At 39.7% G+C, this 17,465-nt stretch overlaps 1 protein-coding gene across 11 annotated transcripts in view, besides 1 other annotated feature; it reads left to right on the top strand.

Moving 5' to 3' along the window:
• The window catches only part of PARD3 (par-3 family cell polarity regulator), a 705,736-nt gene that overhangs the window by 447,015 nt on the left and 241,256 nt on the right, over nucleotides 1-17,465 (top strand). For all 11 annotated transcript variants that reach the window (NM_001184790.2, NM_001184791.2, NM_001184789.2 and 8 more), the window contains 2 exons: nucleotides 8,023-8,211; nucleotides 8,965-9,135. In NM_001184790.2, coding sequence (NP_001171719.1) covers nucleotides 8,023-8,211; nucleotides 8,965-9,135 — 360 coding nt within the window. The remainder of the gene's footprint in view (nucleotides 1-8,022; nucleotides 8,212-8,964; nucleotides 9,136-17,465) is intronic.
• Nucleotides 15,241-15,977: an enhancer, noted in NCBI's record as "H3K27ac-H3K4me1 hESC enhancer chr10:34641233-34641969 (GRCh37/hg19 assembly coordinates)". NCBI's record gives its function as "activates a minimal SCP1, AML or CMV promoter by ChIP-STARR-seq in naive H9 embryonic stem cells {active_cell/tissue: H9 hESC(naive)}" and the evidence as "EXISTENCE:reporter gene assay evidence [ECO:0000049][PMID:30033119]".

The following is a 17,465-nucleotide window of genomic DNA, read 5'->3' as shown; positions in this document are numbered from 1 at the left end:
GTAGTTCTTTATCATATTTGTCTTTGTTCGTTTTTATTTGTAGAATGCATTTGTCTTGCTTTATTAACAAAGTTCACTGATGTCGGCTCACTGGAGCCTCCGCCTCCTGGGTTCAAGCGATTCTTTTTCTCAGCCTTTTGAGTAGTTGCAATTACAGGCATGCGCCACCAAGCCTGGCTAATTGTTTGTATTTTTAGTAGAACGGGGTTTCGCCATGTTGGCCAGGCTGGTCTCGAGCTGACCTTCAGCAATCCACCCACCATGGCCTTCCAAAGTGCTGAGACTACAGGTTTGAGCCACTGCGCCCAGCCACATGCTTAACTTTCAAGAATTCAAAATGCATTCTAGAAAGTTAGTGGGCTTTCCCTACAGAAACCACAGGGATACATTGGGGATTCTTTAGGAACTTTTTTGAAGGTCAGAAGCCATCTTGATAGGCTAACTTCAGAAAGGTTAGAGTCTCAAGTTAGAAATTTAATGAGCTAGAAATTAAGCATGGGCCTTATTAGGTTTATTTTGCTAACACTTAATAGATCAAGTGTAGGCTGCCATATTGTTTGTGTGTGTGTATGTGTGTGTGTGACCAAGTCTCACTCTGTTGCCCAGGCTGGAGTGCAGTGGCTCGATCTCGGCTCACTGCAACCTTCTCGCCCAGGCTCAAGCAATTCTCCTGCCTTAGCCTCCCGAGTAGCTGGGATTACAGGCACGTGCCAACACACACAGCTAATTTTTGTATTTTTAGTAGAGACGGGGTTTCACCATGTTGGCCAGGATGGTCTTGATCTCTTGACCTCGTGATCTGCCCGCCTCTGCCTCCCAAAGTGCCGGGATTACAGGCGTGAGCCACTGCGCCTGGCCAGAAGGAGGACATTTTCTTATATAACTGTGTTATAGTTACGAAAATGATTAAATCGATTGTATTATCAGTTGTCCCAATTAATGTTCTTTATATCATAAATGAATGAGAGAATGAATGAAATACAAGTATGAATAGAATTTGGTCCTGTTTCCAATTCAGGATCATGTATGGCAGTAAGTTCTCATGGCTCTTTAATCTCCTTTAACCTATTACGTTTGTTAATATTTTCTCAAGAACAAATTACTCCAGGCAAATTTTTAATTTTTGAAGGGGCAGATTACTTTGAGAATGTCCCTCAATTTGAGTTTGTCTGATGTTTCTTTGATTGGGTGAGTATTTTGGGAGTTAACATTAGAGATTAATAATTGTGCAAAACATTTTTTCCTCAGCATTATTTTACCAAGCAAAAAATTTAAAAGTCTTTCAAAATGTATTTGGCATCTACCATTCGAATTAGAAAAGGCATTATAAAGCCAGATATGACATTTGAACTTTACTGATAAGAATAATGAACTTTATAATATCAACACAAATAACATACAGAAATGTTCATCTCACATACGGGATAAATTAAAATGGGGAACTTAAGGAAATTTTGGAGTCTCTTTGGAGGGTTATTCTTTTATTAAGAGGTTTATCATGGTTCTTAAATTTAAGAAAAATTTAAGAAAAATTTTAAAACCATGATAATTTCTCCATTTAAAAAATCTTTCTCTTAGTTAAAAATATAAATGGTTGTTCATATTGTCTCAGATACCTACCTGCATATTATTTAATCTCTGTTTGTTGAATAAGTATATTCTCTCTTTAATGTCTATGAAAATTTCTATTCTGCGTGACGCTATGATGGTCTGCTGTCATGGCATGGTTTTTTTTAGAGCTGTCCTAAGGTGCTCATTCATAGCCCATCTTTGTCCCAAGCAACAGCCCCTGCCCATCATATCCAGGTGCCCCTCAATTTATGATGGGGTTACTTCCCCATAAATTTGTCAGTAAACCCACTCTATGTTGAAAATATTGTTATGATGAAAATGCATTTATACACCTAACCTACAACGCTGTAACCCAGCCTACCCTACCTCATGTGCTCAGAAGGTTTACCTTAGCCTTCAGTTGGGCAAAATAATTAACACAAAGTTATTTTACAATAAAGTGTTGAATATCTTATCTAATTTATGGGATACCGTACTGAAAGTGAACAACAGAATGGTTTCATGGGCACCATCAAAAGTGGAAAAATCATTAAGTCGAAACATTGTAAGTTGTGGACCATCTGTATAACCCTCTATCAATTTCTCCTCCCCCATGCAGTGTTTTTTTGAGGAAGCAGAATTAAAGAAGTGGTATACAATGGATTTTTTGTATTGTAAAAATAATGCATATCAACTGTAGAAAATTCAGTCATGTGTAGAAGAAAATTAAAATCACTTGTAATTCTGTGACTTCAGTATCATCATTTTAATGTATTTTTTCATATATATATTTGTGTCTGTGAGCCTAGCCAAAGATAATGTATTTTTTTAAATGATTTTCTTGTTCTGGCTTGGTGGCTCATGCCTGTCATCCCAGCACTTTGGGAGGCCAAGGTGGGCGGGTCACCTGAGGTCAGGAGTTTCAGACCAGCCTGACCAACATGGCGAAACCCTGTCTCTACTAAAAACATAAAAATTAGCCAGGTGTAGTGGCTCACGCCTTTAGTCCCAACTGCTTGGGAGGCTGAGGCAGGACAATTGCTTGAACCCAGGAAGCGAGATTGCAGTGAGTTGAGATCATACCACTGCACTTCAGCCTGGGCAACAGAGCGAGACTCCATCTCAGAAAAAATAAATAAGTAAAAAGATGTTCTTGTCTACCTATTTAACTAATATGTATCATGTCCCAGCCACATATCCTATTATTGTTAATAAATGTCATGCCCCAGGCACGAGTGAAGACTGACATAAATTCCTACCTTGTGAAGCTTCTAGTGATCTTTGAAGGCAGACATTAATTCATAAAAATATGTTATGGAGGTTTTTGATGGGTGTACTGGAAGTTATGGAAGTCCAAAGGGTAAAACTCAATTTCTTAGTCACAAATACTTTCTTGTCTTACATATTATTTTGCTAAGACACTTTATTAGCTGAATGGCATTCCATTGTGTAGATAGATCTTAATTTTCCTGACTTTCATACATGTCAATTTTTAGCTATTGTAATTAAAACAATATCCTCACAGTTAAAACTTGGTACATGATCACAACTATTTTTGTAGGCCATATCACTAAAAGTAATATTTCTAGCTTAAGAAAATGGCAAACTGTAGAAGGTTTAGGTAAGCATTGTCAAATTGGTTTCCATAAATATTGTACCATTTTTTTACATTCACCAGCAGTGCAAGAACATGCGCATTTCACCACACCAGTATTAAATATCATTATTTTTATTTATTTTTTAGTGTTCTATGGCAAAGCAGTATTTGTTGGATATCATTAATTTGAAGAAAATATATGGAGCAATTTGATAACCTTTGATTGATTTGCGAGTAAGATTGAACCTTGTACTTGGAGGTTGATTTATTGGTTTGCTCATCTTTCTTTAGTGAATGGCTTGTTTACATCCTTTTCCTGTTTGATGCAGACTGCTTATCTTTTTGTTATTAATTTACTAGGGATTTTTGCATTAATTTACTAGCTATTTGCTAATAACTCAGCTGGGCATGGTGGCTCTTGCCTATAATCCCAGCATATTGGGAGGCCAAGGTGGGAGGATTGCTTGAGCCCAGGAGTTTGAGACCAGCATGGGCAACATATCAAGACCCTGTCTCTACAAAAAAGAGAAAAAGTTAGTCAGGCTTGGTGGTGTGCCTGGGGTCCCAGCTAGCTACTTGGGAGGCTGAGGGCGGGATAATCACTTGAGTCCAGGAGTTCAAGGTTATGGAGAGCTATGATCATGCCACTGCACTCCAGCCTGGATGACAGAGCAAGACCCTGTCTTTAAAAAAAAAAAAGATAATTCTGTAGATAAGGGCAGATCTTGAGAGAGAGAAATTAATGATTTATAGTGGAGTGATGAAACTTTTGCTGAGTCACGTATTTTGTTACAAAGCCAAAAATCGGCTATTGAGCTCACTCCTATAATTTTATGGTCTTCTATCATTTGTGCACATTCCATGTTTCTTTTGCCTCTCTTCACAATATTTTGTACATTCTCATCCAAATTTTCGTTTGTTGCGGCTCAGAGATTACCCTTCCCATGATTGTTTTTCTGCTGCTTGACACAATCAACTCTTATTTCCTTTTTTATAGATAACACCTTTGCTGCAGATTAACTGTGGATTTGGGCCTATAGGCCAGCTCTATTCTCAGTTTTTTGGACTGTGATTTCGGGAAGAAGGAAAAGGGGGCCATGATGGTGCCCACTTGTGACTCTTTGTCTCACTGCAGATAGAAATGTACATCTTTTCTGCTGTTCTCTGGAGGGTGGGATAGTAAGTAGCTTTCACAATACCCATTCAGCAGGTTCCTTAGCAAAGGTGCCCTTTTATTCTGGGCATTTAAAGACAACAAATGGTAATGGAGAAATGGGCAAAGGAAGAACTGACAGGCTTTGTTGCTGAAAACAATCACTTGAGGTATACACACATGTATGTGCGTGAGGCAGGTGTGCTTGAGTGACATGACTGTGCCCAGATGACATGAGGAGTGAGTTAAAGAAAAGACATTTTTTGCGTTTCTGTAGAAAGATCTTAATTCGAGAAACAGTTGATAAGGTGCAGAATTTGGATGGAATAGCAAGGTGATAGAAAGTTAGTTTCTATTTTACATCAGAATATGGAGATTCCTATACTATCTGACTTTATGAACATTCTCAGTAATATAGCATTTCAAATGATTTTTGAAGAGCACAATTTTTAAAAAACATTTTTCTGCCAGAGAACTAAGTTCTAAAAGCTGGCATTAATTTCTGTCTATGTCAAAAGCCAAATGGATTAATAGTGGAATATCACATGAAACATACAATGTTTCACATCAGTGTTCTTAATGATAATAATGACTTAAGACTTGGTAAGAAAGCTGAAAAAGATTATTCCCATTCTGCAGTTGTTATAATAAATAAACTATCCCCTGGAGAATATGCTCTTCTTTAAAACAGGTTCAGAGTTCAGCAATCAGAAAATATTGCAACTTGATTAAAATTTTTCTTCATATATGCAGCCAGCTCCTTATCCTGATCTTTCAAGTAGGAAAAATATGAGAATTGTAAGCCTTGGTAAAATGTTATGGAAATGTAAAACTCAGTAAACACTGAAAAGGCAACTGAAGATTCAAATCAGAAAGTAACAATTAAGAACCTTCCAGAGTTGAAGCAAGTAAGCATAGTGAGTGATGAGACTTAGGTGTGTCCATAGAAAGAATATTCTTGTTTTCCATTTTTTCAAATGTAGCTTTTCCATGCTTATAAGTACTGATTGACAGAATAATTTTTTATTTCAGCAACCTCCAAATTTAAAGTCAAGGGGAACTATGATGTGTATTGATGTTGTTTTGTATTTTAAACATCAAAATTTACCGTACTTTATATTCTTGTAACAGATTTTATATTGAGGTAGTGCAGTTCATTCACACATAGTCATTATTTCGTACTCTGTAAATGTTTCAAGGGGCTGGGCACGTAAGCCCAATACTTTGGGAAGCCAAAGTGCGTGGATTGCTTGAGCCCAGGAGTCTGAAACCAGCCTGGCCAACATGGTGAAACCCCATCTCTAAAGAAATACAAAAATTTGCCCGGTTTGTTGACATGTTCCTGTAGTCCCAGCTACTCTGGAGGCTGCAGTGGGAGGATCACCTGAGCCTGGGGAGGTCAAAGGTGTAGTGAGTAGTGATTGTACCACCGCATTCCACCTTGGGTGACAGAGTGAGACTGTCTCAAAAAAACAAACAACAAAAACACTTGTTTTGAGCTACATGGACCAAAATAAAAAGTATATTGAATATTCATGTTTATAGAGCAAAGCATGTATATAAAGATACTTTTGTATCAAAGTATTTGATATATTTGATCTTTTTTTGCCCACAATACATTGGTTTTATTTGAGCTAAAATTGTTCTCTGGGAATATTTTATTTTATTTTATTTTTTGTTATGGGACAGAGTCTTGCTCTGTCGCCCAGGCTGGAGTGCAGTGGCATGGTCTCCACTCACTGCAAGGTCCACCTCCTAGGTTCACGCCATTCTCCTGCCTCAGCCTCCCAAGTAGCTGGGACTACAGGTGCCCGCCACCACGCCTGGCTAATTTTTTGTATTTTTAGTAGAGATGGGGTTTCACCATGTTAGCTAGGATGGTCTCGATCTCCTGACCTCGTGATCCACCTGCTTCGACCTCGTGATCCACCTGCGTCGGCCTCCCAAAGTGCTGGGATTATGGGCGTGAGCCACCACGCCCAGCCTGGGAATATTTTAAATCTAGTTTTTATGATGAGCAGGCTTAAGGCTTTATTTGGACTTTGATCATAAATGTATTTACTTTGCATAGTTAACATGACTATTACTCTGTATTTTTTCAGATTCTTATTTTGAGTTCTTCATTATATAAGTTTTAATTTTTTTTTTAACCCATTAGCAAGTTTATTGTAATTGAAGTGTTACTTGTCTTTAAAAACTATCAGGCCATCCTTTGAGATAGCACAAAGATGTCCTACCATAAAATGTTAACTTTACATATTTGTAAATTAGAAACATCACATTACTATGGGTCTAAAGATTTATAAATAGCATATTGCTTATTTTATGATGATCTAAAAAATTCACTTACAGATAGTGTACTCTCAAAATGTATTTTATCTAATTGAGACATCTGAGATTGCATGTTTATGCCCCAAATTCCTTGCATTCCAAATTTCCTTGAATTCCAAATTCCTTGGGTTGATTTTTATTCTTATTAGGACATTTTAAAAATTTGGTAGGATGCAGTCACCTACTTTTTTTGTGTTATTGAACATTCTGTAAAAGCACAATCTGTTTAAAGTATATATTCCTACATATCTGTGTACCACTGTATTTCTTATTCTTCAATTATAATTTGATAAGTCAAGCTTGAATGACTAAACAGATGCTGGAGAAATATTTCAAACGTGGGAAAAGAGGAGGAGAAATAGGTTGTAGGACTAGATGTGCCATTCAGTTTTTACTTGAAGAGCCTGTGCCACGTGTCTGTTATGTGGTTGGAGCAAGAGTTTGTGCTTGAACAAGCATCCTAGCCTTACTGATTTGGACATGACCAGTATAGAGATGGTGGAAATCTTGGTCATGGGCGGGATTGCTGAGGAGGAGGAGCTCAGAAGGCTGAGTGCTTCCTCTTCTGGAGTGTAGGCTTTCTTAATGATAGGCTGTCATCTTAATGCATTTTATTCAGTTCTACATTAAGCTTTCATTTCTTCCTCTGTTTTAAGGGAGGTGAACAATAATTTGTATATCCTAAATGTTTTTTATTTTAAAAAGTCTTCCTTCTATGCTTGGTGACTATGAAGTTAAATCTTAACTAATTAAACAAGATTACCTGAATAATATTTACCAGCTATATTATGTATGCTACAATATTGTGGAAAAGTTTTCTGTGATGTTGTATATCTCTACTTTGTCTCACAGATGTTGATGTTAGAATTCTTTAGAGGCTCTCTGAACCCATATACCTTTTTCTGCTGATTTTGTATGATCAGGATTTGTTATTTTTTGTGAATAAACACCATTAGTGAACATTAAATATATTGATAACTTCAGAATTTCCTCATAAAAAGGGAGATAAATGAATTATATTTATTTATTTTTACTCCCATTGTTACTGTTTTTCTTGTCGTTTAGAATATATGATTACACCAAAAAAATCCCGAACTCTAGAAATCTACTAGTCTTTAGTCCTTCCACTACATTTTCCCTCTATCTTTCTCAAATCTGATTTAAGTTTGGTTCAATATTGAATAATTGCTACATAAAAATATTAACAGCTGGTTCCAAGAATCTTCTGGAGTGGGTGCAGATGTAGTGTTTTCATGGATCTTGCTGTGGAACCTTCATGGAAATATTTTGCCTCTTATGATTAAGGAACTGCTCATTAGCAGTCTTTAAAAATAACTTTGAGAAAGAAACATTGGACTATAATGTGCTGTGCAATTTTGTTCCCTATTAGAAAGCAGAAGATGAGGATATTGTTCTTACACCTGATGGCACCAGGGAATTTCTGACATTTGAAGTCCCACTTAATGATTCAGGATCTGCAGGCCTTGGTGTCAGTGTCAAAGGTAACCGGTCAAAAGAGAACCACGCAGATTTGGGAATCTTTGTCAAGTCCATTATTAATGGAGGAGCAGCATCTAAAGTGAGTGTCAACTTTATCATGCGTATGCCTATTAACAAAAATTTTAATTTCAACCCTGTTCCTATTTTGGAAACATATACAGTTAACAGAAGTTTTCTCATTTCTTTATGGTACCCACATTCACATTTAAACAACTAGGTGTATCAGTGATGTGTCACGTGGGGATGGAGTCCATAACTTCAACCTTTCATTTTTTCTCTCACAGAACATACAACCCATTGACATGCTAGTTAAATGAAGTTAATCAATGCAAAGACTTGGCATAGGTCCTGTCACAGAATGGGCGTATAGTAGACGTTAATCTTTCCCCTCCCCTCCCCTGTTTGTGGGTCACTTACTCTATTTCTCAGCCTAGAGAAAATTTCCTGGCCATTTGTTAAGGGGACAGTTCTCTGCAACTGTCTAATAGCCTTGAGCTTTTACATGTCTTGGTTTCTAAATAACCTCTATGGGTGTTTCTGGAAGCAAGAAAGTAATCACTTTGTGTCCTTTGAATTAGTATGCTATTTTGGTAAACAGATTATGATAATGACTTGATTTACAAATGTATAAATGATTGAAATAGACACAGGCTACAATAGCTGCTTAGACGTTATTATGCCAGCGTTCAATTGGGCATAATCCATTAGGATTAAAGCTCCCCACTTTTTTTTTTTTTGCTTTGTTTTTATTTTATTTATTAACTAAAGGAAAAGCTACTTCTTTTATAGCAGTCTGTTTAATAGCACTTATTTTTACCTGTTTTCTTCCCAGGATGGAAGGCTTCGGGTGAATGATCAACTGATAGCAGTAAATGGAGAATCCCTGTTGGGCAAGACAAACCAAGATGCCATGGAAACCCTAAGAAGGTCTATGTCTACTGAAGGCAATAAACGAGGAATGATCCAGCTTATTGTTGCAAGGAGAATAAGCAAGTGCAATGAGGTAAGAAATGCAAAAAAGTGCTAGTATCTAAAATTGTAAATAAACTACATTTCTGTCCTAATTTTGGGCAAAGGGTATTAGGTTCCAGGACCTTACATCAAAAGACCATAAATTATCTTTGCTTATTGTAGTTTTATTATTTTGTAGGTGGATTGTGGTTTGTGTTCTTAATTCTTGTGATCAACATATTCCTAAGTGGACATTAATACTCCTATTGCCAACTCAGCAGGAAACACTGGGATCTCAAAAGCCCCTTTAGCTGAATTTTTTCTTGAAATCAGGGTCACATCTTCCTTCTCAGAGCCAACAGTTTCTCTTCTAGTTGGCAGAGTTATACCTGGGAGGTGAATCATGCAGAGAAACAGTTGCTTATTCATTTATTTAAAATGGGATGCCTCTTACAAAGCCCCTAGTAGGGAACAGTCTTTCCTTCCCTGTCCTTTCTTTTTTATTTGAGACAGGATCTCACTGTGTTGACCATGCTGGAGTTCAGTGTTGTGGTCACAGCTCGCTGCAGCCTCCATCTTCTGGGCTCAAGGGATTCTCCTGCCTCAGTCTGCCAAAGTCCTGGGATTACAGGCACGCGCCATAGCACCTGGCCCACAGTCTGGCTTTCTTAGATGATGGTGTTCTCTTGTGAGATTATCAATAGCATATACCTCCCTCTCTTTCCTCAGTCCCCATTTTCTCTTTCTCTATGGGATTGAGTCTGTTCTCTTAGAATGCCTCCTTTTTCAGTGATCTGTATTGTATTATACTCTGCTTGTTCTAAATGTATGTTGCAGTTTGGAATTAGGGGTGAGGAGGACACAGGGCATCCTCTCTTGAAAGGTAGGATCATCTATTTTCCCAAATATGGAAAAACATACTTTGTTGTATAATAGGACATTTGAAAGTTAAAAATAAATTATATGTTGCCTTGATAATATTGGAGCTTGAAAAAAGCTAAATTTCATGGATCCATTATAAATTATGTGCCAACTGTAGAAAATAGGTCAGACTTGCCCATGTGCAAAATGAGCTGTTGAAAATGTGAAGTTTTTCTTAAATCAATGTTCAGATTCCCACATTTTAAGATCAAATCAACTAAGATAAAATGATTAGCAAATAATACAAACTGAAAATTATACCTAAGTTGTTTAAGAGTTTTTCTTAATTTTTAAACTTCTGTTTAATAAACACATAAAGCACCGTTTTCAGGTTGCAGTGACCACTCATCTGAACCTATGATACAAGCATATTTTACAGAGAAAATATACTCTCGAGCTCAGTTGGTAGTCAATATAGAGGTGACGTATTCTGAAAGATCACTGACCACTGAATTATTTTGTTGTTTTTATTTGCCAAATGTAGAATGAGTTAACAGTAATCAACAAATTAATTGCGATATCAAGAGAACAACATAACCTTAACTAAAAAATCTCAGAGTGGAGAAGAGTGGGACATACAAACATTCATTTATGTAAGATAAATATAAAAGCTAATCCCTCACAGTAGGATGCTGGACTGATATTTTTTTCTCTTTTCCGTCCCTCCTGGACTGATTGAATAGTAGTTTTTACTCATTGCAAAATCATTAGCTGATCTTTTAACTTAAGTCCCACAAAGCACTATATGAAAACATCTCAACTGTAAGTTTACAAAACATATCATTCTCTTTTAGGCCTTTTTATTTTGGCCACCTGAATACTTTCCCATTACACAGGACAGTTTTCATTCCACAGATATTTATTGAGCATCTTATGTGTATCAGAAAATGTGTTAGATCCTGAGGACATAGCAGTGAATAAGACAGATGGCATGCATTCTACTGGACAACGTATCACCTTAGTCTTTTAGAGACCAATTAAAATTTTTAACACCTTCTCAATGTTTTCCTTCACAGAAAACATTGAATGCTACAGGAGGACTTAAAATGCAGAAATGAACTGAAGATCAGTGTTCTGCTTTTATCTGATTCAGATTATTCCCTATTGTTCCCCCCAAATAGTGACAAAGTAAACCTGTACCTGCCTGAAAATGTTTTGATAAAAGCACTGATTTTATTCCCTGTAAGAGATGTGAAATTGGAATCCCCCTGAAATATCTCTGTGTTTTATTCACTTCTCCATATGAATTTTTGTGAATGAATATGATTTAAGTAAGGAAACAGCTGCAGTAGACAGTAATAGACTTTAATATTCAATATTCCTTATGGTATCATTTTCATACATTGCTGGTTATTACTATTTCTTAGGACAGCATAAGCTTATAAAGCAATTATATCAAAAAATCTTATGAGTGCTGTGCTATCTTTGTAATACTAGCAAGAACCCTTTTGTACTGATAGGGTTTAACTAAAGAATTACATGAAGACAGAAGATCTCAATTCAGCTTCCAGTAAGGTATAAGACATGATTTTTCAGCTGTTGTACTTATGCATTACCTTAGGAAAACCTTCTCCTTTGCACACTGGGAGGGTATGTGTAAATTATGTTATAGTAAATATTGATATAAGCACAGGGCATCCTGCTGTCCTGAACAAATCTCAAGCCAAAATAATGTGCTGAGTTTTCTTTCTAGGTCTTTTAATCAGCTGTATAGTCCAGTCTTTGCCAATCAGAAAACTGTATTTTGCTATCTCATCTTTAAATCCAAGGTTTGCATATTTAATTTCTAGTTAGGGAAGGTAAGAATGTGTAAAAGAAAATCTTTTGTTCTTTGTCACATTTTTCTTTCTCTTATACATGGAAGTGCTGTGTATTATCTTAATATGTCTTCTTTATTTTTCATTTTTGTAGAGACACGGTCTTGCTATGTTGTCCAGGCTGTTCTCCAACTCCTGGCCTCAGCTTGCCAAAGTGCTGAGATTTCAGGCATGAGCCACCTCACCTGGTCCAATGTGTTTTCTTTAAATTTATTTGTCAGCTCCCTTCACTAGGTATTATGTTAAAGCCCTGTATTTCCCTAACATTAGTCGCGACAGGGCACATTGGAGACATTCTCTGGGAGCTATTTCTTAGCCTATTTTGCTTAGCCTTCCAGGAATCTGCAGGCACTATGTCATTCTCAAAGTGTCTCCTATGTACTCTCTCTAGTTTTCTGCTACCCTACTCCGGGTCTTCTCTAAGGGTTCCTCTTTTCTGCCTGTTCTTTCATTATTCCTGTCTCTCAAAGTTCCTCTGGGTCTGTTGTCTGTTTTTTTGTTTGGTTTTGTTTTGTTTTTTTTTTTTTTTTTTTTTTGAGACGGAGTGTCACTCTGTTGCCTAGGCTGGAGTGCAGTGGCGTGATCTTGGCTCACTGCAACCTCCGCCTCCCGGGTTCAAGTGATTCTCCAGCCTCAGCCTCGTGAGTAGCTGAGATTACAGGTGTGCGCCATGCCCAGCTAATTTTTTGTATTTTTGGTAGAGATGGGGTTTCACCATGTTGGTCAGGCTGGTCTCAAACTCCTGACCTTGTGATCTGCCCACATTGGCCTCCCAAAGTGCTGGAATTACAGGCGTGAGCCACTGCGCCCCACCAGGTCTGTTTGTTTTTACTCTGCTCTTGCTCCCTAGCTGATCTCCACTCCCTTGCTGCCTGAAACCACTTGTTAGGATGAATACTATCATCCTCTTTCCAGCTCACAGGTCCACTCTGGCACCAGATCCCTCTGTCCACCTGCCTAGGGAAATATTTCCTGGTATGTCTTATGGGCACCTAATTCACAAGGCACCACATTCTTTCTGTTGTAGAAGGCAGAGATCTGGGGTCACCCTTGACCTCTCAAATGCTGTCCCTATCCCTGTTGCCTGTTGCTTCTACCTCTAGAATTTCCCTCTTTTCTTTTTTGGAGACAGCGTCTTGCTCTCTCGCTCTGTTGCCTAGGCTAGAGTGCAGTGGTATAGTCCCCGGCTCACTGTAGCCTCGACTTCCCATGCTCAAGCAATCCTGCCACCTGTCTCCCTAGTAGCTGGGACCACAGGCATGCACCACCACACCCAACTAATTTTTCTTTAAAGATGGGATCTCACTATGTTGCCCAGGTTGGTTTTAAACTCCTGGGCTCAAGTAATCCTTTGGCCTCAGCTTCCTAAAGTGCTGGAATTACGCCTGTGAGCCACTGCGCCTGGCCTAGAATCTCTCTTCCTTTAGCCGCTCCCCTCTTTCCCCTCTCCCACTGCCTGAGTTCAGACCTCATCCTCTCACCAGGCGCACTGCTGCAGCTCCCTGAGGGTTTTCTCTGCAATCAGGCTTTCTCCCTCAATCCATTCTCTGCACTGCAGTCAGGCAAATTTTTCTACAGAACACATTAATCACGTCAGTCCCTGCTGAAATCCCTTCAGAGGCTTTCCATGTCTCCAGGATCAACCAGTCTCCATCATGGGGACCACTGGGACATGCCTGATTGTCATCGGTGCCCTACAGCCCCTGCAGCACCTCTGCTCTAGCCACTCAGTGTTTCTGGTAATTTCTCAGACATGGGATGCTCTTTTACACCTCTAGGTCTTCCACTTGAGTCTATCTGCCCCTCATCCTAGCAAAGACTTAACGCAGTCTTTCATTTTCCATTTTCTCTTCCAAAGGATTTTCATAGCCCCGTGTACTCCCCTTCACCCAGCAGCTGTCACACTATCATGGTTTCCTCTTTGATTTTCTTTTGCTGGAATGTGGATTCTGAGACTGCCAGGGCTTGGTCCATCTACCACTTTCCTGTGTATCCTTTGCTGGTATCCAACCCAGGCCTGACACATCAGCACAGGCTGAATGACGAAGAGCAACCCTGGAGAGTCTGGCTTTTTTTTTTTTTTGAGACAGAGTCTCGCTGTGTTGCTCAGGCTGGAGTGCAGTGGCGTGATCTCAGCTCACTGCAAGCTCCGCCTCCCGGGTTCACGCCATTCTCCTGCCTCAGCCTCCCAAGTAGCTGGGACTACAGGTGCCCACCACCACGCCCAGCTAATTTTTTGTATTTTTTAGTAGAGATGGAGTTTCACCGTGTTAGCCAGGGACTGCAAGTGCCTGCTACCATCTGGCGTTTTTTTTTTGTTTTTTTTTTTTGAAGAAAGACAGGTCTTGTTAGTATTAGAAACTGAAATTCCAGAGTCACCCTCAGACAAGGCAAACAAAGTGATTTTGAGGGCAGTAATTTTTATTTCCTTTGCTTTCCTTCTTTTCTTAGATCTAATGGTTTTATCTAACTACACTTAAAAACATTGTATAAACCATCATTGTTTGTTTTCTTTTTTCTTTCTTCAAAGAAAAAGAGATGGCTTCCCATTGTTTAAAGCCCTTAAAGGATGATTTCACTTTTTTAGAGAAAAACTGAGTCCCTGCATTCTTTTCCATCGTTTCAGTTTTGGAATACACAAAGTAAGAAGAGAAAAATTGTTTTCACTTACCTCAAAGGACACATTTGTTGAAGACTTTTATTTTTTATTTTATTTATTTATTTATTTATTTTTTTATTTATTTATTTATTGATCATTCTTGGGTGTTTCTCGGAGAGGGGGATTTGGCAGGGTCATAGGACAATAGTGGATGGAAGGTCAGCAGATAAACATGTGAACAAGGGTCTCTGGTTTTCCTAGGCAGAGGACCCTGCGGCCTTCCGCAGTGTTTGTGTCCCTGGGTACTTGAGATTAGGGAGTGGTGATGACTTTTAAAGAGCTTGCTGCCTTCAAGCCTCTGTTTAACAAAGCACATCTTGCACCGCCCTTAATCCATTTAACCCTGAGTGGACACAGCACATGTTTCAGAGAGCACGGGGTTGGGGGTAAGGTTATAGATTAACAGCATCCCAAGGCAGAAGAATTTTTCTTGGTACAGAACAAAATGGAGTCTCCTATGTCTACTTCTTTCTACACAGACACAGTAAAAATCTGATCTCTCTTTCTTTTCCCCACATTTCCCCCTTTTCTACTCGACAAAACTGCTATCGTCATCATGGCCCGTTCTCAATGAGCTGTTGGGTCCACCTCCCGGACGGGGTGGCGCCCAGGCAGACGCGCCCCCCACCTCCCTCCCGGACGGGGCGGCTGGCCGGGCGGGGGCTGCCCCCCACTTCCCAGACGGGGCGGCTGCTGGGCGGAGGGGCTCCTCACTTCCCAGACAGGGCAGCTGCGGGGCGGAGGGGCTCCTCACTTCTCAGACGGGGCGGCCGGGCAGAGACGCTCCTCACCTCCCAGACGGGGTGGCGGTCCGGCAGAGACACTCCTCACATCCCAGATGGGGCGGCGGGGCAGAGGCGCTCCCCACATCTCAGACGATGGGCGGCCGGGCAGAGACGCTCCTCACTTCCTAGATGGGATGGCGGCTGGGAAGAGGCGCTCCTCACTTCCCAGACTGGGCAGCCGGGCAGAGGGGCTCGTCACATCCCAGACGATGGGCGACCAGGCAGAGAGGCTCCTCACTTCCCAGATGGGGTCGCGGCCGGGCAGAGGCTGCAATCTCGGCACTTTGGGAGGCCAAGGCAGGCGGCTGCGAGGTGGAGATTGTAGCGAGCTGAGATCACGCCACTGCACTCCAGCCTGGGCAAGATTGAGCACTGAGTGAGCGAGACTCCGTCTGCAATCCCGGCACCTCGGGAGGCCCAGGTGGGCAGATCACTCGCGGTCAGGAGCTGGAGACCAGCCCCGCCAACATGGCGAAACCCTGTCTCCACCAAAAAATACAAAAACCAGTCAGGCGTGGCGGCGCGTGCCTGCAATCCCAGGCACTCTGCAGGCTGAGGCAGGAGAATCAGGCAGGGAGGTTGCAGTGAGCCGAGATGGCAGCAGTACAGTCCAGCCTCGGCTCGGCATCAGAGGGAGACCATGGAAAGTGGAGGGAGAGGGGAGAGGGGAGAGGGGAGCAAAAAAGAGTAACTTTACAGTGGAGAAAGCTGTTGACACTCTGTTGAAGATTTTTAAACGAGACTGGAGTGGAATGGAAGTAAATGCCAGGCATCATTCCTTGAGTGTTGAAAATAGCCTCTATATGAGAATTATGCTGAGTTTTAAATATTTTAAAGACATTAATATTTGTAGAAATTACTGTAATTTAACATAGCTTCCAGGCATTTTATTATATCCATGTTAGAAGTGATTTTATGTAAAGCTTTTTCTTAGTGCCAGTAGAGAATATCGCCAGGTGAGCTTTCTGTCTTAGACCTCATATTGGGGGATTTAGTCATCAAGGACTTCTTTAAAATGAATTTTTTCTCTAGGCTTAACCCTCTTAGAATGAGAAAGGTATATTAGAATAGGAAAGGGGCCTAAGGTATCATTTATGAATCTCTTCATTTTCTGTATTAAGAAATAAATGCAAAGAGGTCAAATGATTTGCTTTAATGGCTGCAAGGCCAACATAGGTGGCAAAGTAATTTAGAAGCAAAATGTCTGTTTCTCTTACACAAGTGAGTGGATCTAATTGACTGTGATTGTGTTGTTCAGGCACTTTATATCCCAGTTGCGTTGGGAAGTAGTGTACAATAAAAGCATGGGCTTTCGAATCTGATGTAATCGGAGAAATTCTGGTTCTGCCATGTGCTGACTTGAGGAGCTCACCTCACATTTCTGGTTCTTGCCATTGCCCTCATGGGGATGTGAAGGAAAATAAATGTGGTCCTGTTTGAAAAGAGAATGTGAAACTGTGCTCTAAATCTTCCTTCACTCTCCTCCAAAACTAAAATCTGTGTTTTCATTAGTTGCTTTATGTTCACCTGTCCTCTGGAAGCTAATATTTTCCAGAATGTATATTTGTAATCTAGGTTAAATGTCTTTTAATATCAACATCATGGCGTGTCCTCAGTTTTAACAGCCTATTTCCACATAATGTAGTGTGTTTTAAGGAAATTATGACTCACTCACTTTTAGGAATGAATTTACTAATCTAATTATTCCACCAGTGCCTGCTCTACGCTAGGCATTGGGGATAAAATACAATATGCTAAAAAAAAACTGAAATATTGAATAATATGATCTTGCCAATCACCAGTGAGAATCCAGTTTTAGGTTTGTTGAAGGGGGTTTAAGGCCATTCCAATACGAACTTTTCAGTGTTTGTAGTGGAGATAGTGGGATACATTTTCTTTAGGTGAAAGACACTATTTGGCTTGCTAATGCATACTCACAACAAACGGAGATTTTATTAAACCCCACAGATAAATTCACATGAATTTTCATTATTCACTTAGCTTATTATTTCCTTTGGGATAGTGACCACAACATGAAATAAAGGCCTGTTCAAAGAGTTAAAAATAAGATTTTTTTTTGCCCTGTGGTAATATATTTCCAAGTTACTGTAGCAAAAGACTGTATCACTTTACACTCCTACCGAGTGTGGGTTATCTTGCCGCAACCTAAAGCTATTTTTGTTCTTTAATAGGTAGAAAG

Source organism: Homo sapiens, chromosome 10, assembly GCF_000001405.40.
Source record: "Homo sapiens chromosome 10, GRCh38.p14 Primary Assembly".
In the NCBI taxonomy this organism is placed as follows: domain Eukaryota; kingdom Metazoa; phylum Chordata; class Mammalia; order Primates; family Hominidae; genus Homo; species Homo sapiens.
This window is presented reverse-complemented; position numbering and strand designations above follow the sequence as displayed.